This window comes from Homo sapiens, chromosome 9 (genome assembly GCF_000001405.40).
Source record: "Homo sapiens chromosome 9, GRCh38.p14 Primary Assembly".
NCBI classification, from domain to species: Eukaryota; Metazoa; Chordata; class Mammalia; order Primates; family Hominidae; genus Homo; species Homo sapiens.
Genome location: NC_000009.12, coordinates 34,760,438 through 34,784,340, shown reverse-complemented (window position 1 = coordinate 34,784,340; position 23,903 = coordinate 34,760,438). Strand labels below are relative to the sequence as shown.

Genomic DNA, 23,903 nt, shown 5'->3' with positions numbered 1-23,903 from the left:
TCCTACTCCCTGAAGCATGAACTCCTAGTTGAGAACATCACTAACAAGTTGAAAGCATACCTGCCCACGCATGTCTTATGCACTTTCACTTGTGCACATACAAAACCATATAACTCCTTGTACAAGAAAACTTAATTACTAGGCAAGACGCCTCCACCAGCTCTAGCAGCAAGCCTATTTATGGAAACTCTTCCTTAGAGAATATCTTATATCAAAATGATATTGCCAGCCAGCCATGCAGGGAGATTACCTACAGAAGCTACTCTGGCACTGACTCGAGCACAGAGGAAATAGCTGTCAAACCCACTAGCTGCTGGCTTCTTGGAGGCAGTGTTTAAAAACTATCTCAAAGTCTATGCTAAAAAATATAGAGCAGAAATTTCAGCAAGTAGATGGAGAGTTTTACTGGTCTAAGAAAAGTTTTAATGATACCTAAAAATTACAAATGGGCTAGAACAGGAAAGGCAACATTATACATCAATTAAAAAGTTAAACTGGAGTTCAGGTTGTATTCCAGAAACCGCTATTCACTTTATTTGATATTCTTTATAAGGGAAGCTTGAGGTTATTAAGTCACTGCCCTCCCAATGCAGTATTACATTTTCTGTAATCTGTAGGAAATAATATCAGGAAACTGATCAAATTCCAAGTCCCTAAATATTACCAGAACAACTTATTGATAAGAAAAAGATTATTTTATTTCTTACAGTGATAAGGGAGACATAATATGGTAGTTTCTTGGAGGAGAATGAACAAGATTTGATTTATTCAGATTTTGAAGTCTAGTTTAAGGCAGGTCTGTCAGAGCAGGGGTGAGTGCAATAGAGAGGGCTTAATTAGGATAGGGTAAGGGCTATGATAGAATATTAGGATTGGTGAAAAAAGAAAAGAGGTCGTTTTGAAGCCAGGAGCACAAAGTCTTGGGATGTGAAGACAATTGAAATTAAAGTCATGTTAACGTAGATAGTAAGCTGTGTAGGAGTAAATGGTTTCAGTTCTCAATATTAAGAGTCCGGAGAAGAGAGGATGGATTTTAATAAGTTATCGGGCCCTTTCATGAAATCCATGTGGATAAGATGGCGCAGTGTAACTTGCTTCCTTTCACGCTTATGACTAAACCTGGTGGTCCTGGTTGAAGCATCAGCCAAGTATATCACTGTCAGGATTTAAGTTCTAAGGACTGAACTGGGATGGGGCAGCAAGGAGCAGGAAGATCCAAAGTGAATTTAAACAGAATTCTTAAGCAAAGCTGAGAGTCAAGCTGAAAAATGAGGATCAATTGGGAATTCTGGAGGCAAGAGCAATGCTACAAATAAGAAAAGAGATAGGTCAGAAACAGGTCAGAAACAAAACGCAACCTAGATGAACACAGTTTGCAGCTAAATCAGGAAGGGCTTAGATGGATGTTTTCTGGGATTGGAGTTCAAGTATTTGAGGCTTTTCTGATGCCTGGTGCTTGGATAAGTCAGACTAGCTTAAAGATATAGGTTTGGAGCAGGGATCCATCCCTCATCCTACCCCATCCCCAAACCCTACCACTGCTATGTAGGCCTCTCCCAATCAAACAGTAGGTTGGGTGTGGAGCTTTCTCAAGTTTGTTTTGCATAAGACTTGGCATGTTTGAGAAGCTCTTCCAAACATGGAAGAAGAGCTACTTCCCATGAATTCATAAATGCCTCTCTAAGTCAGACCCTTACCTCTGCCTCAGGGATTGGAGTAGTCTATATCGCTGTTGGAAGTCTAGTACTTCCACTTCATGCTCTTGCTCTCTACCTCTAGTGACAGGATGAGTCACTGGACTGGAAGGCAGATTGGATCTGTATTTTTAGCCATATGGCATTCAAATATCTCTGTGACCTTGAATCAGTCCAAGAAATAATCCTCAACTTTTCATAAGCGGGGTATGGGATTTGGTGGGGTGAGGGAGGCAAACTGCTAGAGAATAGAGGAGCTGTGGATGGAGTGAACTAATGAATTGTTGAGAGATGTGTGTCTACCAGAAAACAAACCACGAGTGGTTATTATTATACGAAATTGCTGAGAAATCCTCCCCTGTCCCTCCTCTACCCTACTTACCCCAAAATCACTGAGTCTTGCTCTCATTTTTCAGGCCTCTGACATGTGACCATCCACTGATTTGCTAACTGCCTCTGTGATCTCCACTAATAATTATCCACTGAGCACTTCAGTGAGTTTTGTAACCCAGCTCTCGTGCAAGTTGGAGGACTTCATTTACTCCCTCAGTTTCATCATTCCTCCTTCTTCAGGAAAGAATCTCACATTCCAGAGCTAGCTCATGTACCCTGCTTCCTGTCCCATTATGGGTGGAGATTTGGACATTTTTGCCTAGAACCCATGATTTCAGGAGGTTCTTCTCTCCCATGTGGGGACAATGAATGTAATTTCAGCCCTTCTATTCTTACTGTGCCTGGGAAATGTCACATTAATAATAGAAATAATACAGAGTTTTGCAGATAACTGCTGTACTTACCAACCTATTGATTGCAAGAGTGGAATTCACTGGCACATGCATTGTTGCTGCTTTCTCCCCCTACAGAAAATGATGGGGTTGAACTAACACATTTCCCAACTACTTCCTACAATGCTTTTTTTTTTTTCCCTAACAGCCTTACTGAGATATAATCCACATACCATAACTTCAGCCATTTAAAGTGTACAATTCAAGGGGTTTTGCTCTATTATTCATTATTTTAAGTTGTGGTGATGATAGATAACATAAAATGTGCCATTTTAACCATTTTTAAATGTATAATTCGGTAATGTTAGTTACATTCACAATGTTGTACAACCGTCACATTATCTATTTCCAAGACTTTTTCACCAACCCAAACAAAAACTCTGTTTCCTTTAAGCAATAATTCCCCGCTCTCCTTGCCTCCAAACCATTAGGTTATCTATTCTACTTTCTGTCTCTATGAATTTGCCTATTACAGGTCCCTCATTCAAATGAAATCATATAATATTTGTCCTTTTTGTTTGACTTATTTCACTTAGTGTAATATTTTCAAGGTTCAGAACTTCATTTTTTATGATTGGATATTTTATTATATCTATATACCACATGTTGTTTACTTATTCATCTGTTAATGGACCTTGGGGTGTTTCTATCTTCTGGTTATTGTTGAATTATGCTGTTATAAACATTTATGCACAAATATCTGTTTGAATTCCTGTTTTCGGTTAGTTTGGGTATTTACCTAGGAGTGGAATATAGTAATTCAATGTTTAACTTTCAGAAAAATTGCCAAACTGCTTTACACAGCAGCAGCAGCACTATTTTACATTCCCACTGGCAATGCGCAAAGGTTCTAGTTTCTCCACATCCTCATTAATAATTGTTAATTTCTGTTGTTGTTTTATTATAGACATTCTAGTATATGTGATAGTGGTATCTCATTGTGAAAGGGGTACCTTACTGTGGTTTTGATTTGCATCTCCCTAATGACTAATGATGATGTTGAGCATCTTTTCATGTGCTTGCTGGCCATTTGTATATCTTCTTTGGAAAAATGTCTATCCAAATCCTTTGCCCATTTTAAAAGTTGGGGTTTATTTTGCCATTGTAGTTGAGTTGTAGGATTTATTTATATGTTCTGAATGCTGGGCTTTTGTCAAATGATTTTCACTCCCTTGATGCTGTCCTTTGATGCACAAAATGTTATTTTTATGACATCAAATTTACCTATTTTTCTTCGTTTATTGTGCTTTTGGTGTAATATTTAAGAAACTATTGCCAGCTAGGTGCAGTGGCTCACGCTTATAATCCCAACACTTTGGGAGGCTGAAGCAGGCAGATTGCTTGAGCCCAGGAGTTCAAAACCAGCCTGGGCAACATGGTGAAACCCCTTCTCTACAAAATACAAAAATTAACTGGGTGTGGTGGTGTGCTCCTGTACTCGGGAGGCTGAGGCGGGAAGATCACTTGAGCCCAGGAGGTGGAGGCTGCAGTGAGCCATGATCACACCACTGCACTCCAGCCTGGGCAACAGAGTAAGACTGTCTCAAAAAAAAAAAAAAAAAAGAAAAAAAGAAAAAAAAGAAAGAAGAGAAAAGAAAAGAAAACATTGCCAAATCTAAGGCTATAAAGATTTCTCCCCATATTTTCTTCTAAGAGTTTTATAGTTTTAGCTTTTAAATTTAGGTTTTTGATCCATTTTGAGTTACTTTTTGTACAGCGTGTAAGGTAAGGGTCCAACTTCATTCTTTTGCCTATGGAGATCCAGTTTTCCCAGAACTATGTGTTGAAAGACTGTCCTTGAGTGGTCTTGGGGCCCTCATCAAAAATCAACTGACCAGCTGGGCACAGTGGCTCACGCCTGTAATCTCAGCACTTTGGGAGGCTGAGGCAGGTGGATCACCTGAGGTCAGAAGTTCGAGACCAGCCTGACCAACATGGTGAAACCCCATCTCTACTAAAAATACAAAAATTAGCGGGGCGTGTTGGCAGGCGCCTGTACTCCCAGCTACTCAGGAAGCTGAGGCAGGAGAATCGCTTGAACTTAGGAGGTAAAAGTTGCAGTGAGCCAAGATCGCGCCATTGCACTCCAGCCTGGGCGACAAGAGTGAAACTCCATCTCAAAACAAAACAAAACAAAACAATTGACCATATATGTGAGAGTTTAGTTGTGGGCTCTCAATTCTCTCCCATTTGTCTATATGTCTACTATGCCAGTAAAACAATATTTTGATTTCTGTAGAATTGTAGTAAGTATTGAAATTGTGAAGTGTGATTCCTCCAACTTTGTTCTTCTTTTTCAAGATTGTTTTGGCCATTAGGGGGTCTCTTAAAATTTCATCTAAATTTTAGGATTAGCCTGTCAATTTCTCCAACAAATTCAACTGAAATTTTGATAAGGATTGTGTTGAATATGTAGATTAATATAGGGAGCATTGCCGTCTTAACAATATTAAGTCTTCTGATCCTCAACGTAGAAACACATAGGAAAGTTAAAGAAAACATAGATTTTCTTTGCAGGAAGCTTCTTAATTACTAATTTAATCATTTCAAAGAACCAAGTTTTGAGTTTGTTGATTTTTCTCTATTCTTTTATTTTCTCTTTCATTTCTTGCTGCTCTAATCTTTATTATTTTCTTCCTTCTGCTTGCCTTGAATTTAGTTTGCTCTTCTTTTTCCAGTTTCACAGGGTGGAAAATTATGGATTTGAGATCTTTTTTCTCTTTTAATATAGATGTTTATCACTATAACTCCCTTTCAGCACTGCTTTTGCTGCTTTCCATACGTTTTGGTAGTTATCTTTACCTCAAAGTATTTTGTAATTTCCCTTATGATTTTACTTTAACTCACTGTTTATTTAGCAGTATGTTGTTTAATCTACATGTTTGTGAATTTTCCAAATTTCCTTCTGATATTGATCTCTAATGTCATTCCATTGTAATCAGAGAATATATTTTCTGTGATTTTGATCACTTTAATTTATTGAGACTTTTTTTATGACCTAGCAAATGGTCTTTCCTGGAGACTGTTCCAGGTGCACTGGGAAAGAATGTGTATTCTGCTGCTGTTGGGTGGGGTATTCTATAGATGTCTCTTAGGTCTAGTTGATTTATAATGTTGTTTATGTCTTCTGTATCCTTGTTAATTTTATCTCTAGCTTTTCTATCCATTATTCAAAGTAGGTGATGTCTTTAACAGTTATTGTTGAAATGTCTATTTCTCCCTTCAGTTCTGTTAGTTTTTCTTCATGTATTTTGGGACTCTGTATAAATACGCATACATTTATATGTGTTACATCTTCCTGAGGGATTGACCCTTTTATCATTATGAAAATGTCCATTATACCTAATGGCATTTTTGTCTTAAAGTCTATTTTGTCTGAGACCAGTATAACCCACTGTAGCTCTCCTATGGTTGCTAGTTGCATGGTACACCTTATGCTATCCTTTTATTTCAACCTATTTGTACCTTTGTCTATAATACATCTCCCTTAGACATCATGAGGCAGGATCTCATTTTTGTAACCCAATCTGACAATTTCTGCCTTTTGATTGAATTATTTAATCTATTTACTTTTATGTTATTATTGATATGGTTAGATTTATGTCTGCCATTACGCTTTTTGTTTTGTACGTGTCTCATGTCTTTCTTATTCTTCTGTTCCTCCTTACTGTGGCTGATGAGAGACATTTCACACCTTATCCACTAAGAAGAACCAAAATAGTGAGTAGATAATCACACTTTGAATAGATCATCCAAGAGAGAACACTGGAATCCAATAGAAAAGTGACAGGTAATACCTAAAGCAAGGAAGAAAAACAAAGCATGGCAGCCCGATTGGCCAGAATTAGCTAGAAACCAATGTGGGGAAAGGGTAAGTGAGAGACCCTCAGCAATCCACATTACCACCACAGACTTCTGCAATCCTAGCCACTGGAGAGTCCCATGACCCTTGTGGGCCCTAAAACTAAAGTAGGAAGCTGACAGGAGATTGTGAAATGACACTGCTCCAGGGAGGGAGCTAACATTGGGTCCCTGAGACCTAAACAGCTACAGAAAATTGCCTCACCCTCAAAAGACAGTACACTGTCCTGGAGCTCAGCAGCGCTGGGTCTGAGGCACTAGAGAAGCATGGGCTTCTGTCCCCAGGAATTAGGCACCAGCTACCATGGGCTACCACATCCCAGGCTGAGGGCTGAGATACTTCCATTGGGACTGAGGCATGAGCAAAGCACTACTTTGCTACTGCAGCAAGGGCTGAGGCACAAGTACCACCAGAATTGAAATGTGAGAGGCATGCATTTTCCACCCACTGGCCTAGGCTGCCACCACTGAGGGCAGCACCACCCTCCCTAGTAGTAGGGTATCAGTACGGCCATTGCCCAACTTCACTGCCCTCGCCCTAGCCACAATCTGGGGGCTAAGGGATCTCCCAGCCCAATCCACCACCATTGGCATCTGAACATTCCTCCCAGGCTACCTGTGGGCCTAGAGACTGGCCTGCCCAGACCATCACATTCACTACCAATGCCAGCACACACCAACCAGGGCCCAGAGAGTCATCCCACCACTGCCATCACCCTCACCATGCTGGCTTCCCAGGGTCCTGAGAACCTCCCCACCCACCCAGCCTACTGCTGCCACTACTGACATCTGAGTAAGACACATAGAGGCCCAAGAATCAGCCCACCTGGACCCCCTAAAACCAGTACAAGCATATACCACCCTGGGGCCCAAGAACAGACACACTCAGCTACTGCTGCCACCAATGGGGCCCAAAGACTGCCTTACCTGGCATCCCCATCCCCAGAAAATCTTCACTGCCTCCTCTAATAACTGCATCCTAAGCCACTGAGGAAATTACAGATACCACTGATGCTGTTTACAGCCAAATAAATCATACAAAGACTATGCTACTGCATGCACCCAGAATCAAGCCATAGTGTGTCATCAAACCAACACCTTAGATACATCTTCAGGAAAAAGTCCTCCCCTATGAAAGTAAATTCAAATAATTGGAAGAGGGACCAATTGTGTTGTCCCAATTGTGTTGTCCCAATTGTGCAGACATCAATGTAAGGACACAGGAAACATGAAAAAACAAGGAAATGTTACACCTCCAAAGGAATTCAATAATTCACCAGCAACAGATCATGATTAAAAAGAAATTCACAAGATCTCAGAAAAATAATTCAAATTATTGATTTAGATGAAGCTCAGTGAGATACAAGAGAATTCTGAAAACCAATACAGAGAAATCAGAAAACAATTCAGGATATGAATGAGAAATTTGCTAAAGAGATAGATAAATATAAACGAGAACCAACAAAAATTCTGGAACTCAATAATTTATTTAATGAAATGCAAAATACATTCAAACACTTTAACAATAGACTAGGCCAAACAAAGAAAGAATCTCTAAACTTGAAGATAAGTATTTTGAAATAATCCAGTCAGATAAATAAAAGGATATAATAGAATGAGCAAAGCCTCCATGACATATGGGACACCATAAAGCAGCCAAATTTATAAATTACTGGGGTTCCAGAGCAAGGTTCTGGGTGGAAACAGTGGCATGTAATCTTGGATTACTTCTCCAGTTGTGGAATTTCCATCCTAAAAGTAAGTTTTAAGAGTACAGTTAAAATATACAATTCTATGATTTTTAGTATGTTCAGAATTTTGCAACCATCACCAAAATTATTTTAGAATATTTTCATCCCTCTAAGAGAAACTCCGGTGATTCCCGTTGGCAATCACTCCTAAAATTTCCTTCAACCAGCCTCTGGCAGCCACTAATCTATTTTCTATCTCCACAGATTTGCCTATTCTGGACATTTTATATAAGTGGAATCATACAGTATGTGGTCTTCTCTGACTGGCTCCTTTTACTTTGCATCTTTTCAAGGTTCATCCACGTGGCAACATATATAACTACTTCATTCCTTTTTATTGCCAAATAATATTTCCATATATGGATATACAACAATGAATGGATATTCAGTGCTGGGCATTTAGGTTGGTTTCATTTGGAGGCTATTATAAATAATGCTGTCATGAGTATCTGTGTACAAATTTTTGTGTGGACATATGTTTTCATTTCTCTTGGGCGAATATCTAGGAATGGAATTGCTGAGTCCTGTGGTACCTATGTTTAACCCTTTGGGAAACAAGGATTAGAAACAAGGATTAATTTTTTTAAAATAGATTTTATTTTTAGAACGTTTTTAGATTTACTGAAAAAATGAGAAGATAGTACAGTTTCCATGTACCTCACACCCAATTGCATATATATTTTTATTGTAGTAAAATATACAAAACATAAAATTTGCCATTTTAATCATTGTTGAGTGTACAGTTCACTGGCATTAAGTGCATTCCCACTGCTGTACAACCATCACCACCATCCATATCCAGAAATTTTCATTATCCCAACTGGAACGCTGTACACATTAAACAATCACTCTCCATTACTCCCTTTTTCCAGTCCCTGCTAACAAGTATTCTTTCTGTCTCTATGAATTTGGCTATTCTAGGTACCTTACATAAGTGGAATCATATAATATCTGTCCTTTTGTATCCTTATATCACTTAGTATAAAATCTTCAAGGTTCATCCATGTTGTAGCATGTATTAGAATTTCATCCCTCTTTAAGGCTGAATAATATTCTATTATATATATTGTTTATCTCTTCATCTGCTGAAGAATATTTGGATTGTTTCCACCTTTTGGTTATTGTAAACAATACTGTTACAAATGGATGTACGAATATCTCTTCAAGTTCCCATTTTCAATTATTCTTGGTATATTCCCAAAAGTAGAATTGCTGGATCATATGGTAATCCTTTAATTTTTTGAGGAACTACCATACTGTTTTCCCCAACAACTGTAACATTTTACATTTCCAGATGCAATGCACCAGGGTTCCAATTTCTGCACATCCTCACCAACAATTATTATTATTATTAATATTAGCCATCCTAGTGGGTGTGAAGTACAAATCACTGTTGTTTGGATTTGCATAATTTCCCTATTAATTTCTGATATCAAACATCTTTCAGTGTGGTTTGGCTTTTTTTTGTGTATGTGTGAGATGGAGTCTCACTCTTGTCGCCTAGGCTGGAGTGCAGTGGCACAATCTCTGCTCACTCCAACCTCTGCTTCCCAGGTTCAAGCGATTCTCCTGTCTCAGCCTCCCAAATAGTTGGAATTACAGGTGCCCGCCACCGCTCCCAGTAATTTTTTTGTATTTTTAGTGGAGAGAGGGTTTCACCATGTTGGCCAGGCTGGTCTCCAACTCCTGACCTCAGGTGATCCACCTACCTCCGCCTTCCAAAGTACTGGGATTACAGGCGTAAACCACCACACCCAGCTGGTTTGGCTTATTTCTATATCTTCTTTAAAGAAATGCCTTCTCAAGTCTTTTTCCCATGTTCACATTGGATTGTTTGTTTTTTTTGTTTTTGTTGTGTGTTGTAGGAGTTCTTCATATATTCTGGATAGCAATCCCTCATCAGATATATGATTTGCAAGTATTTTATCCCATTCTGTGGGTTGACTTTTCACTCTGTTGATAGTGTCTTTCGATGCACAAAAGTTTTTGATTTTGATGAAGTTTAAGTTACATCTTTATCTTTTGGTATCATCTGTGCTTTTGGTGTCATAGCCAAGAAATCATTGCCAAATCCAATGTCATAAAATTTTTCCCTGATGTTTTCTGCCAAGAGTCTTATTTAGCTCTACATTTAGGTCTCTGACTCATTTTGAGTTAATTTCTGTGTATGGTATAAGCTAAAGGTCCAGCTGCATTTTTGCATGTAGTCACCTGTTGATGACATCTTACATTAGTATAGTACATTTGCTATCATCAATATACTAATATTGATACATCATTATTCATTAAATCCACATTTTACTCAGATTTCCTTAGTTTTTACCCAATGCTATTTTCCATCCCTGGATCCCATCCAGGACCCCACATTACATTCAGCTGTCATAAATCCTCAGGTTCCTCTTGCCTGTGACAGTTTATTAGATATTCCTTGTTTTTTACGACCTTGACAGTTTTGAGAAATATTGGTCAAATATTTTGCAGGAGGCTCCTCTACTGGAATTTGTTTGATGTTTTTCTCATAATTAGACTGGGGTTATGGGTTCTGGGGAGAAAGACTACAAATCTAAAATGCCATTTTCATCATATCATATCAAGGGTACACACTCTTCTCTCCCGTTTACTTATTTATTCTCCCCGTTTATTTGTTTATTCAATCATTTATTTATATCAGTGTAGACTTGTGATATTTGTTTTATCCTTTGGATTGTAATCCAACATTGCTTTGTTTATTTTGTTTCTCAAATTATTCCAGGCTTAGTCATTGGGAACTCTTGCAGTTGACTTCTGAATTCCTTTGACATCTCCACCAATTTTTTTTTTTTTAGCACTTGTTTCTTTCTGGCACTAGAAGATGCTTCAAGCTCATCTTGCATGTTTTCTGACCCAGTCCTAAAATCAGCCATTTCTCTAAGAAGCCCTGCTTCGTTTTATTGGAGGATGGTATTAAAAACCAAACTCTGGGCCGGGCACGGTGGCTCATGCTTGTAATCCCAGCACTTTGGGAGGCCAAGATGGGCGGATCACCTGAGGTTGGGAGTTCGAGACCAGCCTGACCAACATGGAGAAACCCCATCTCTACTAAAAATACAAAACTAGCTGGGCGTGGTGTCGCATGCCTGTAGTCCCAGCTATTTGGGAGGCTGAGGCAGGAGAATCACTTGAACCCGCGAGGCGGAGGTTGCGGTGAGCCGAGATCGCGCCGTTGCACTCCAGCCTGGGCAACAAGAGCAAAATTCCATCTCAAAAAAAAAAAAAAAACAGAACTCTGAGAGCTAGATATGCTCATTGCTACTGGTGCTCCTGGTCTTTTAGATCCTCTCAGCTGACAGAGCAAGGAAATAGGTATGTATACTAACCGGTATATATACACATATTTGTAAATATTTCTACATATTTCTATTTGTAACCATATGTATCTATATTAAGCTAAACATGAGGTTATACTGGTATTGCCAACTGTAATCCACTAGTACATGGATCATGCTAGCCTCCTCCCCTGCTCATCTGCAAATTCCCACTCCAGTCGTAAGAAACCTGGCTCCACACTCCATCATCCACTTACTACATTTAGTTCAGTGAGGATTCCTTTTTAATGTGTAATTTTAAATAGAATTTTGAGATTAAATGTGCATTCATGTATGGAAAGAATATTTTCCATTTTTATTTTCCTACTTATTTACCTACTTTGTCATTTTTAAATCATTTTTATTCATTCTTCTTTAATCATTTTTTATATATCTTGTATGAATACACATAGCTAACTATTACTCCATAAAAGATTTTTGTCCGACCTTCCTCTCTGCAAGTCCTTAGCCTTTTAGGTTCAAACCAGTCACGTAGGTTGTTTCCAGTTTTCTTCTCATAAATCATTTGATGAACATACTAGGTAATCAATTTTTATACACACAATTATTTCCTTAGGAAAAATTTCAAAAAGTGAAATTATTAAGTCTAAATATTGGCATATTTTAAAGCCTTCGATATCTCTAAGGAAATTTCCCTCCAGAAGAGTTTTTACAACTCACATTCCCATCAGCAAGGCTCTTAGGCGTTGTTGACTGATCCTAGGAATCAGTCTCTTGGGGAGTTTAATTTAATTCATTATAACTTGTTCTTATGGCATAAAGATACTGAAATCTGAGCTGAAACCTCAGCTGAAACCTGAGCTGAAACCTTTGTAAGGCTGATTTAATGTTCAGAATTAAGAATCAGCTTTCAAATTAGCTCTCTTAATATTTAGCACCTGGTGTTATTTAACGGCTATTATCTTGATGAATTTCCATAATAAAACACAGCTTTTAATCTTAAATCCTAGCATGTCTCAGCCAATCTCAAAATGAGGATGGGGACAGGGACATTTTATTGATCTGTTTGACTGAAGCCTCCGCAACCTTACCCTTGGAGAAATGCACCACAAAATGTTTTCTTTAAAACAAATCATTCTGGGTTCGAGCCCTGGTTCAGACCTAAATTCCTAACACCGCAGCTGTTAGGTTTCTCTCTAGAATGTACAATCAAAATCTTTCTCCTGATTATTTATAATGATGGAATAGTTCTGTACCTTGATAGCAGTGGTGGTTACACACATCTACACATATGATAAAATGGCATAAAGTAATCACATACATTATATAAATGTAAATTTCCTGGTTCTGATTATTTTATTATAGTTATATAAAATGTAACCATTGGGGAAAACCCAAGCAAAAGGCTTATATGTCCTCTCTGTACTATCTTTGTAATTTTCCATGAGTCTATAATTATAGTCATATACCACATAATAACTTTTTGGTTAATGATGGACTGCATACACAATGGTGGTCTCGTAAGATTAAACTGTATTTTTTCTGTACCTTTTCTATGTTCAGGCATACAAGTACTTACCATTTTGTTACAAGTGCCTGCAGTATTCAGTACAGTAACATGCTGTATAGATTTATAGCCTAGCAGCAATAGACTACGCAATATATAGCCTCAGCATGTAGTAGGCTATACCATCTAGGTTTGTGTAAATACAGTCTATGATGCTGGCACAACAATGAAATTGTCCAGTGACTCATTTGTCAGAATGTATCCTCGTCACTAAGTGACACATGACTGTATTTCACAATAGATATTTATTTATTTATTTACTTCGAGACAAAGTTTTGCTCTTGTCACCCACACTGGAGTGCACTGGCTCAATCTCGGCTCACTGCAACCTCTGCCTCCTGGTTTCAAGTGATTCTCCTGCCTCAGCCTCCCGAGTAGCTGGGATTACAGTCATGCGCCACAATGCTTGGCTAATTTTGTATTTTTAGTAGAGACGAGGTTTCACCATGTTGGTCAGGCCAGTCTCTAACTCCTGACCTCAAGTAATACACCCACTTCAGCCTCCCAAAGTGCTGGGATTATAGGTATGAGCCACCATGCCCGGCCACAATAAATTTTAAAAATCTTTCTCCAAGAGTTACCTTAAGAGACTTTAATTTTTTTTTGCATAGATAATACACTCACACGGTTTCAAAAGTGTTGCCCTCTTCCCTTTCTCCACCTAACCCATACCGCCATCCCGTTTCTATTGCTTCCCCTAACTTCTTTTCTTCTATATCTTTCTGGTGTTTTTTTGTATAAAATATAGGCAAATATGAATATATTCTTATTTTTCCCACCTTTCACACACAAAGGGTATGTGTTAATTTGGGTCCTCTGAAAAGCTGTTGTCAAGACAGACTTAAATGTGAGAATAATTATCAGAATTGGGATTATTGGGTCAAAAGGAAAATATATTTGAAATTAATAATAAATACTTCTAAAATTTTTCTCCACAGGAATTGTACTATTTTGCACTCTCACCAATGAAGTGTGAGATTGCAGTAGCTCCTCATCTTGCCAAAAGAGTGTGCCATGAAACTTTTGAATTTTGTCAATCTGCTGTGAGAAAAAAGGTGTGATTTTAATTTGCATCTATCTTATAAGTTTGACCATCTTTTCATGTCTTTAGGGGTCATTAGTATTTCTTTTTCTGTGGACTGTTTATGTCATTTGCCAATTTTTCTGTTGGATCATTGGGTACTCTTTACATATAAGGCAAATCAGTGTTTTGTCTAATAAGGTTTGCAACTTTTTCAGGTTGTAGTTTGTCTTTTGGCTTTGCTTATAGTGTGTTATACTATGCAAAACACACTATATTTATTCTATGTAGTAGAATAAATTAATCCTTTATTTTATGGTTTCATTGTCTTAACTAAAAAGTCTTTCCTCTCAATAAGGTTCTAAAAGAATCATTCCATGTATTCTTCTACTATTTTCATGTAAGCACTATTTATATATGATTTTTTCAAATTAAATCCTCTATTAATTTGAAGTTAACCCAAGTATATGATACAACCTATGAATTTGCCTATCTTTTTCAAGAAGGCAAGCCAGTTGTCCTAAAACCATTTATTCAAAAGATATATGTTTATTCTACTGATTTGAGATGCTACCTCTCTCGTATACTAATACATACATGCTCTATTCCTGGATATTTTGTTCTGCTCTGTTTGTCTGTCAGTTTATGCATAAGTACCATACTGTTTTAATTATTAAGACTATATAGTCTCTTATTAACTGACAGCACTAATCTCAGTGCTATCATAGTTCTTTCTTTTAAGAGTTTTCCTGGATATTTTTGCTTACCTTCAACCATAAATTTAGAATCAGCTTGTCTAATTGGGCCCCCTAACCAGAGAAATCTATTGGCATTTTTGTTGGGATCACATTAGTTTATAAATTACCTTGGGAAGAATTGTTGAGTCTTTCTATCCCTTAGAATATGGTATATCTATTTGTTCAAGATTGCATTTATGGCCAGGCATGGTGGCTCATGCCTGTAATCCCAGCACTTTGGGAGGCCGAGGCAGGCGGATCACCTGAGGTCAGGAGTTCAAGACCAGCCTGGCCAACATGGTGAAACCCTATTTTGCATTTTGTAAAAATACAAAAATTAGCCAGGCGTGGTGTTGGGTGCCTGTAATCCCAGCTACTAGGGAGGCTGAGGCAGGAAAATCACTTGAACCTGGGAGGCGAAGTTGCAGTGAGCCAAGACTGCGCCACTGCACTCCAGCCTGGGTGACAGAGCAAGATTCTGTCTCCAAAAAAAGGATTGCATTTATATATTTGAAAATGATTTACCTTTTTTCTCAAAAAGGTTTTACATATTTTGTTTCTGGGTATTTATTCCTTGTGTTGCTATTGTAAAGGGGACCTTCTTCTCCAATATATCTTCTAATTGTCATTTGTATACACAAAAGTTTTTTATTTCTGCATATTAATTTTTATATTCTGCTACCTGACTGAATTCTCTCTCTCTCTCCCTCTCTCTCTCTCTCCCCCCACCTACTAGTAGTAGTAAATTTTAGTTGATTACCTTGGGTTTTTCAGGAATACAGTCATACCACTTTCCAATAGTGACAGTTTTACTTTCATTTTACCATTTTTTAATGCTTTCAATTTCTTCCTGTTTTCCAGTTGTGTTGCTCACTCCACTCTCTACCAAACAAAGGCAATGAAGAGCAAGATAAGCAGGTAGCGGGGCCAGAAGAAGTCTTTAGTGAGAGTGTTCCTTAGGTTTGTGTTTTGTCATAGCTTTTCTTCTATTATAGCCACCAACGTACGCCAGGCACAGTGCTAAATTTAATTTACAACATCCCATTTAATCCTACAAGCATTCTGTGAAGTTGATATTACTATTGGCTCCATTTTACAGATTTTTTAAAAAGTCTGAAATGCAGAAAGGGAAAAAAATTGCCCAAGGTCACAAAAAAAGTGGTAAAAGTAAGATTCAAATCTAGGTCTAATTCCAAAGAAACCACTCAACTACCATGCTAGTTACATACACCCCAGAATAGCATAAGGTGCCCTTTGCTGTAACTTTCCAGAAAAGAAGGACTCTGGTCTTGCTGAGGCCCATATTTGAGCCGTAGTCTGTGGTTTTGGCCGGATCCAGATTCAAGCTTCTTAAACAGCTTGCATGGGATAGCCCTAAAATATCCCTGAATGTGTTTCCCATTGCCCATAACCTCTGAAAGAGAATAAGCTCTGGGAGTGCAGAGTCTAATTTTGTCTTTGAACTTGTCATTTGTAGCCATGTCCAGTGAAATAATGTAGTATGCGCATGAGCAGAGGAGATAGATGCAATATGTCTGTCACCATTCAAATATAGCATTTGCAATGCCCCATGAACACAGAATTCTGGTGGACCAATGTCTGAGTTCAGCAAGACTCAAAGTGAGTACAAGGTAAGCATATTATGGAAGCCACTGACTTCCATAGTGTCGGTAGATGTGCACGCATCCAGAATATGAATTCTGTAATGTTAGTGATACCGCATGAAAGTGAAGTGCTCTGATATTTACATTTAAAACTGACAATGGGGGCAGCCAAGATGGCCGAATAGGAACAGCTCCGGTCTACAGCTCCCAGCGTGAGCGACGCAGAAGATGGGTGATTTCTGCATTTCCATCTGAGGTACCCGGTTCATCTCACTAGGGAGTGCCAGACAGTGGGCGCAGGACAGTGGGTGCAGCGCACCATGCGCGAGCCGAAGCAGGGCGAGGCATTGCCTCACTCCGGAAGCGCAAGGGGTCAGGGAGTTCCCTTTCCTAGTCAAAGAAAGGGGTGACAGACGGCACCTGGAAAATTGGGTCACTCCCACCCTAATACTGCGCCTTTCCGACGGGCTTAAAAAACGGCACACCAGAAGACTATATCCCGCACCTGGCTTGGAGGGTCCTACGCGCACGGAGTCTCGCTGATTGCTAGCACAGCAGTCTGAGATCAAACTGCAAGGCAGCAGCGAGGCTGGGGGAGGGGCGTCCGCCATTGCCCAGGCTTGCTTAGGTAAACAAAGCAGCCTGGAAGCTCGAACTGGGTGGAGCCCACCACAGCTCAAGGAGGCCTGCATGCCTCTGTGGGCTCCACCTCTGGGGGAAGGGCACGGACAAACAAAAAGTTAGCAGTAACCTCTGCAGACTTAAATGTCCTTGTCTGACAGCTTTGAAGAGAGCAGTGGTTCTGCCAGCATGCAGCTGGAGATCTGAGAACGGGCAGACTGCCTCCTCAAGTGGGTCCCTGACCCCTGACCCCCGAGCAGCCTAACTGGGAGACACCCCCCAGTAGGGGCAGACTGACACCTCACATGGCCGGGTACTCCTCTGAGACAAAACTTCCAGAGGAACGATCAGACAGCAGCATTCGCGGTTCACGAAAATCCACTGATCTGCAGCCACCACTGCTGATACACAGGCAAACAGGGTCTGGAGTGGACCTCTAGCAAACTCCAACAGACCTGCAGCTGAGGGTCCTGTCTGTTAGAAGGAAAACTAACGAACAGAAAGGACATCCACACCAAAAACCCATCTGTACATCACCATCATCAAAGACCAAAAGTAGATAAAACCGCAAAGATGGGGAAAAAAACAGAGCAGAAAAACTGGAAACTCTAAAAAGCAGAGCACCTCTCCTCCTCCAAAGGAATGCAGCTCCTCACCAGCAACGGAACAAAGCTGGACGGAGAATGACTTTGACGAGTTGAGAGAAGAAGGCTTCAGACGCTCAAACTACTCCGAGCTACAGGAGGAAATTCAAACCAAAGGCAAAGAGTTAAAAACTTTGCAAAAAATTTAGACGAATGTATAACTAGAATAACCAATACAGAGAAGTGCTTAAAGGAGCTGATGGAGCTGAAAGCCAAGGCTCGAGAACTATGTGAAGAATGCAGAAGCCTCAGGAGCTGATGAGACCATCTGGAAGAAAAGGTATCAGTGATGGAAGATGAAATGAATGAAATGAAGCGAGAAGGGAAGTTTAGAGAAAAAAGAATAAAAAGAAACTAATAAAGCCTCCAAGAAATATGGGACTATGTGAAAAGACCAAATCTATGTCTGATTGGTGTACCTGAAAGTGACGGGGAGAATGGAACCAAGTTGGAAAACACTCTGCAAGATATTATCCAGGAGAACTTCTCCAATCTAGCAAGGCAGGCCAACATTCAGATTCAGGAAATACAGAGAACACCACAAAGATACCATTCGAGAAGAGCAACTCTAAGACATATAATTGTCAGATTCACCAAAGTTGAAATGAAGGAAAAAATATTAAGGGTAGCCAGAGAGAAAGGTCAGGTTACCCACAAAGGGAAGCCCATCAGACTAACAGCGGATCTCTCAGCAGAAACTCTACAAGCCAGAAGAGAGTGGGGGCCAATATTCAACATTCTTAAAGAAAAGAATTTTCAACCCAGAATTTCATATCCAGCCAAACTAAGCTTCATAAGTGAAGGAGAAATAAAATACTTTACAGACAAGCAAATGCTGAGAGATTTTGTCACCACCAGGCATGCCCTAAAAGAGCTCCTGAAGGAAGCACTAAACATGGAAAGGAACAACCAGTACCAGCCACTGCAAAATCATGCCAAATTGTAAAGACCATCGATGCTAGGAAGAAACTGCATCAACTAACGAGCAAAATAACCAGCTAACATCATAACAACAGGTTCAAATTCACACATAACAATATTAACTTTAAATGTAAATGGGCTAAATGCTCCAATTAAAAGACACAGACTGGCAAATTGGATAAAGAGTCAAGACCCATCAGTGTGCTGTATTCAGGAAACCCATCTCACGTGCAGAGACACACATAGGCTCAAAATAAAAGGATGGAGGAAGATCTACCAAGCAGATGGAAAACAAAAAAAGGCAGGGGTTGCAATCCTAGTCTCTGATAAAACAGACTTTAAACCAACAAAGATCAAAAGAGACAAAGAAGGCCATTACATAATGGGAAAGGGATCAATTCAACAAGAAGAGCTAACTATCCTAAATATATAGGCACCCAATACAGGAGCACCCAGATTCATAAAGCAAGTCCTGAGTGACCTACAAAGAGACTTAGACGCCCACACAATAATAATGGGAGACTTTAACACCCCACTGTCAACATTAGACAGATCAACGGGACAGAAAGTTAACAAGGATACCCAGGAATTGAACTCAGCTCTGCACCAAGCGGACTTAATAGACATCTACAGAACTCTCCACCCCAAATCAACAGAATATACATTTTTTTCAGCACCACACCACACCTATTCCAAAATTGACCACATAGTTGGAAGTAAAGCTCTCCTCAGCAAATGTAAAAGAACAGAAATTATAACAAACTGTCTCTCAGACCACAGTGCAATCAAACTAGAACTCACGATTAAGAAACTCACTTAAAACCTCTCAACTACATGGAAACTGAACAACCTGCTCCTGAATGACTACTGGGTACATAACGAAATGAAGGCAGAAATAAAGATGTTCTTTGAAACCAATGAGAACAAAGACACAACATACCAGAATCTCTGGGACACATTCAAAGCAGTGTGTAGAGGGAAATTTATAGCACTAAATGCCCACAAGAGAAAGCAGGAAAGATCCAAAATGGACACCCTAACATCACAATTAAAAGAACTAGAAAAAGCAAGAGCAAACACATTCAAAAGCTAGCAGAAGGCAAGAAATAACTAAAATCAGAGCAGAACTGAAGGAAATAGAGACACAAAAAACCCTTCAAAAAATTAATGAATCCAGGAGCTGGTTTTTTGAAAGGATTAACAAAATTGATAGACCGCTAGCAAGACTAATAAAGAAGAAAAGAGAGAAGAATCAAATAGACGCAATAAAAAATGATAAAGGGGATATCACCACCGATCCCACAGAAATACAAACTACCATCAGAGAATACTACAAACACCTCTACGCAAATAAACTAGAAAATCAAGAAGAAATGAATAAATTCCTTGACACATACACCCTCCCAAGGCTAAACTAGGAAGAAGTTGACTCTCTGAATAGACCAATAACAGGCTCTGAAATTGTGGCAATAATCAATAGCTTACCAACCAAAAAGAGTCCAGGACCAGATGGATTCACAGCCGAATTCTACCAGAGGTACAAGGAGGAACTGGTACCATTCCTTCTGAAACTATTCCAATCAACAGAAAAAGAGGGAATCCTCCCTAATTCATTTTATGAGGCCAGCATCATCCTGATACCAAAGCCGGGCAGAGACACAACCAAAAAAGAGAATTTTAGATCAATATCCTTGATGAACATTGATGCAAAAATCCTCAATAAAATACTGGCAAACCGAATCCAGCAGCACATCAAAAAGCTTATCCACCATGATCAAGTGGGCTTCATCCCTGGGATGCAAGGCTAGTTCAATATACGCAAATCAATAAATGTAATCCAGCATATAAACAGAATCAAAGACAAAAACCACATGATTATCTCAATAGATGCAGAAAAGGCCTTTGACAAAATTCAACAACCCTTCGTGCTAAAAACTCTCAACAAATTAGGTATTGATGGGACTTATCTCAAAATAATAAGAGCTATTTATGACAAACCCACAGCCAATATCATACTGAATGGGCAAAAACTGGAAGCACTCCCTTTGAAAACTGGCACAAGACAGGGATGCCCTCTCTCACCACTCCTATTCAACATAGTGTTGGAAGTTCTGGCCAGGGCAATTAGGCAGGAGAAGGAAATAAAGGGTATTCAATTAGGAAAAGAGGAAGTCCAATTGTCCCTGTTTGCAGATGACATGATTGTATATCTAGAAAACCCCATTGTCTCAGCCCAAAATCTCCTTAAGCTGATAAGCAACTTCAGCAAAGTCTCACGATACAAAATCAATGTACAAAAATCACAAGCATTCTTGTATACCAATAACAGACAAACAGAGAGCCAAATCATGAGTGAACTCCCATTCACAATTGCTTCAAAGAGAATAAAATACCTAGGAATCTAACTTACAAGGGATGTGAAGGACCTCTTCAGGGAGAACTACAACCACTGCTCAATGAAATAAAAGAGGATACAAACAAATGGAAGAACATTCCATGCTCATGGGTAGGAAGAATCAATGTCATGAAAATGGCCATACTTCCCAAGGTAATTCATAGATTCAATGCCATCCCCATCAAGCTACCAATGACTTTCTTCACAGAATTGGAAAAAACTACTTTAAAGTTCATATGGAACCAAAAAAGAGCCCGCATCACCAAGTCAATCCTAAGCCAAAAGAACAAAGCTGGAGGCATCATGCTACCTGACTTCAAACTATACTACAAGGCTACAGTAACCAAAACAGCATGGTACTGGTACCAAAACAGAGATATAGATCAATGGAACAGAACAGAGCCCTCAGAAATAATGCCACATATCTACAACTATCTGATCTTTGACAAACCTGAGAAAAACAAGCAATGGGGAAAGGATTCCCTATTTAATAAATGGTGCTAGGAAAACTGGCTAGCCATATGTAGAAAGCTGAAACTGGATCCCTTCCTTACACCTTATACCAAAATTAATTCGAGATGGATTAAAGACTTAAACGTTAGACCTAAAACCATAAAAACCCTAGAAGAAAACCTAGGCAATACCATTCAAGACATAGGCATGGGCAATGTCTTCATGTCTAAAACACCAAAAGCAATGGCAACAAAAGCCAAAATCGACAAATGGGATCTAATTAAACTAAAGAGCTTCTGCACAGCAAAAGAAACTACCATCAGAGTGAACAGGCAACCTACAAAATGGGAGAAAATTTTTGCAACCTACTCATCTGACAAAGGGCTAATATCCAGAATCTACAATGAACTCAAACAAATTTACAAGAAAAAAACAAACAACCCCATCAAAAAGTGGGCAAATGACATGAACAGACACTTCTCAAAAGAAGACATTTATGCAGCCAAAAAACACATGAAAAAATGCTCACCATCACTGACCATCAGAGAAATGCAAATCAAAACCACAATGAGCTACCATCTCACACCAGTTAGAATGGCAATCATTAAAAAGTCAGGAAACAACAGGTGCTGGAGAGGATGTGGAGAAATAGGAACACTTTTACACTGTTGGTGGGACTGTAAACTAGTTCAATCATTGTGGAAGTCAGTGTGGTGATTCCTCAGGGATCTAGAACTGGAAATACCATTTGACCCAGCCATCCCATTACTGGGTATATACCCAAATGACTATAAATCATGCTGCTATAAAGACACATGCACACGTATGTTTATTGCAGCACTATTCACAATAGCAAAGACTCGGAACCAACCCAAATGTCCAACAATGATAGACTGGATTAAGAAAATGTGGCACATATACACCATGGAATACTATGCAGCCATAAAAAATGATGAGTTCATGTCCTTTGTAGGGACATGGATGAAATTGGAAATCACCATTCTCAGTAAACTATCGCAAGAACAAAAAACCAAACACCGCATATTCTCACTCATAGGTGGGAATTGAGCAATGAGAACACATGGACACAGGAAGGGGAGCATCACACTCTGAGGACTGTTGTGGGGTAGGGGGAGTGGGGAGGGATAGCATTAGGAGATATACCTAATGCTAAATGACGAGTTAATGGGTGCAGCACACCAGCATGGCACATGTATACATATGTAACTAACCTGCACATTGTGCACATGTACCCTAAAACTTAACGTATAATAATAATAAAATTTAAAAAAATCAAACAGCACAAAAGAGTATGAGTAGGGCTCTCTCTCTACCATGCCATACCCTGACCACCAGTCTCTAATAGCAACCAACCACAAAGTCTTTAAAAAATTCTAGTAAGTGTCCCATATATGTTCTACATCTTTTTCCCCTTACCAAGTCTCAGAGATTTGAGAAGGTACTTCATCTTTCTTCATAGCATTTATCACTCCCTGACACTACGGTATTTATCCATTTATTTATCATCTGCTCTCTTTCTTTAATGTAAGCTCTATATCAGTATGTTCTTTTCTGTACTCCTAGTATCAAGAATAGTGTCTGGCATACAGAAGGGCTCAAAATTTGTTGGATGAATGAATAAATCATACCCCATCTATTAAAAAAAACTGACAATGTGCAATATAAAGATGAATAGTAAAATTCATGCCGATTATTTAAAGTTTCAATTTTCCTTTATTTAGAACAACATTAAATAACAAAAAACACCAGAAGTTGAGAGAGGAGAGAGACCAAAGCAAAAAGGGAAAAGAATTATATTTTAATACTCTTAATGGCATTTTTTCCCTACTTTTTGAACAAAAGGCCTACATTTTCATTTTACAAGCACCACATATTCTACAGCTAGTCCTGTTTTTAACAAGCCTCCCAGAGATTCTGATGTAAGGGCAGGATTGAGAAGCACTGGAGCAGATTACTTTTTTTTTTTTTTGACACGGAGTTTCACTCTGTCACCCAGGCTAGAGTGCAGTGGCGCGATCACGGCTCACTGCAGCCTCTACCTCCTGGGCTGAAGCAATCCTCCCACCTCAGCCTCCCGTGTAGCTGGGACTACAGGCGCTCGCCACTACACCCGGCTGATTTTTGTAATTTTTGTAAAGACCAGTTTTCGCCATGTTGCCCAGGCTGGTCTTGACCTTCTGGGCTGAATCAAGTCTCCCACCTCGGCCTCACAAAGTGTTAGGCTTTCAGGCGTGAGCCCCCGCGTTTGGCCCAGGACCCCTGGCGGGGCCGAGACGTCGCAGGACTAGGAGTATTGGGTGGGGGCGTGCTGCCCTCTAGTGTCTCTGGCTGCCGTCTACCGCTACTCGCCACGCTTCTGCACCGGGCGGTAACCGGCTGTGTGAGCTCCGGTGGTTTTGCTGCCTGACACTACTCTGGGGCTTCCTGCCCAACTTCTTGGAAATTCTAGCTCTTGGGCATTAACAAAGGTGCTCACCTGTAAAAGTGTTGCCGCTGAGTCGCAGCAACTATGCACCTCTGTCC

At 39.5% G+C, this 23,903-nt stretch overlaps 1 protein-coding gene across 2 annotated transcripts in view, besides 1 other annotated feature; it reads right to left on the bottom strand.

Annotated features, from left to right (window-relative positions):
• Positions 1-23,903, bottom strand: part of PHF24 (PHD finger protein 24) — a 316,938-nt gene that overhangs the window by 198,204 nt on the left and 94,831 nt on the right. The gene's annotated exons all lie outside the window — the stretch shown is intronic.
• Positions 16,888-17,390: an enhancer, noted in NCBI's record as "H3K27ac-H3K4me1 hESC enhancer chr9:34766948-34767450 (GRCh37/hg19 assembly coordinates)". NCBI's record gives its function as "activates a minimal SCP1, AML or CMV promoter by ChIP-STARR-seq in primed H9 embryonic stem cells {active_cell/tissue: H9 hESC(primed)}" and the evidence as "EXISTENCE:reporter gene assay evidence [ECO:0000049][PMID:30033119]".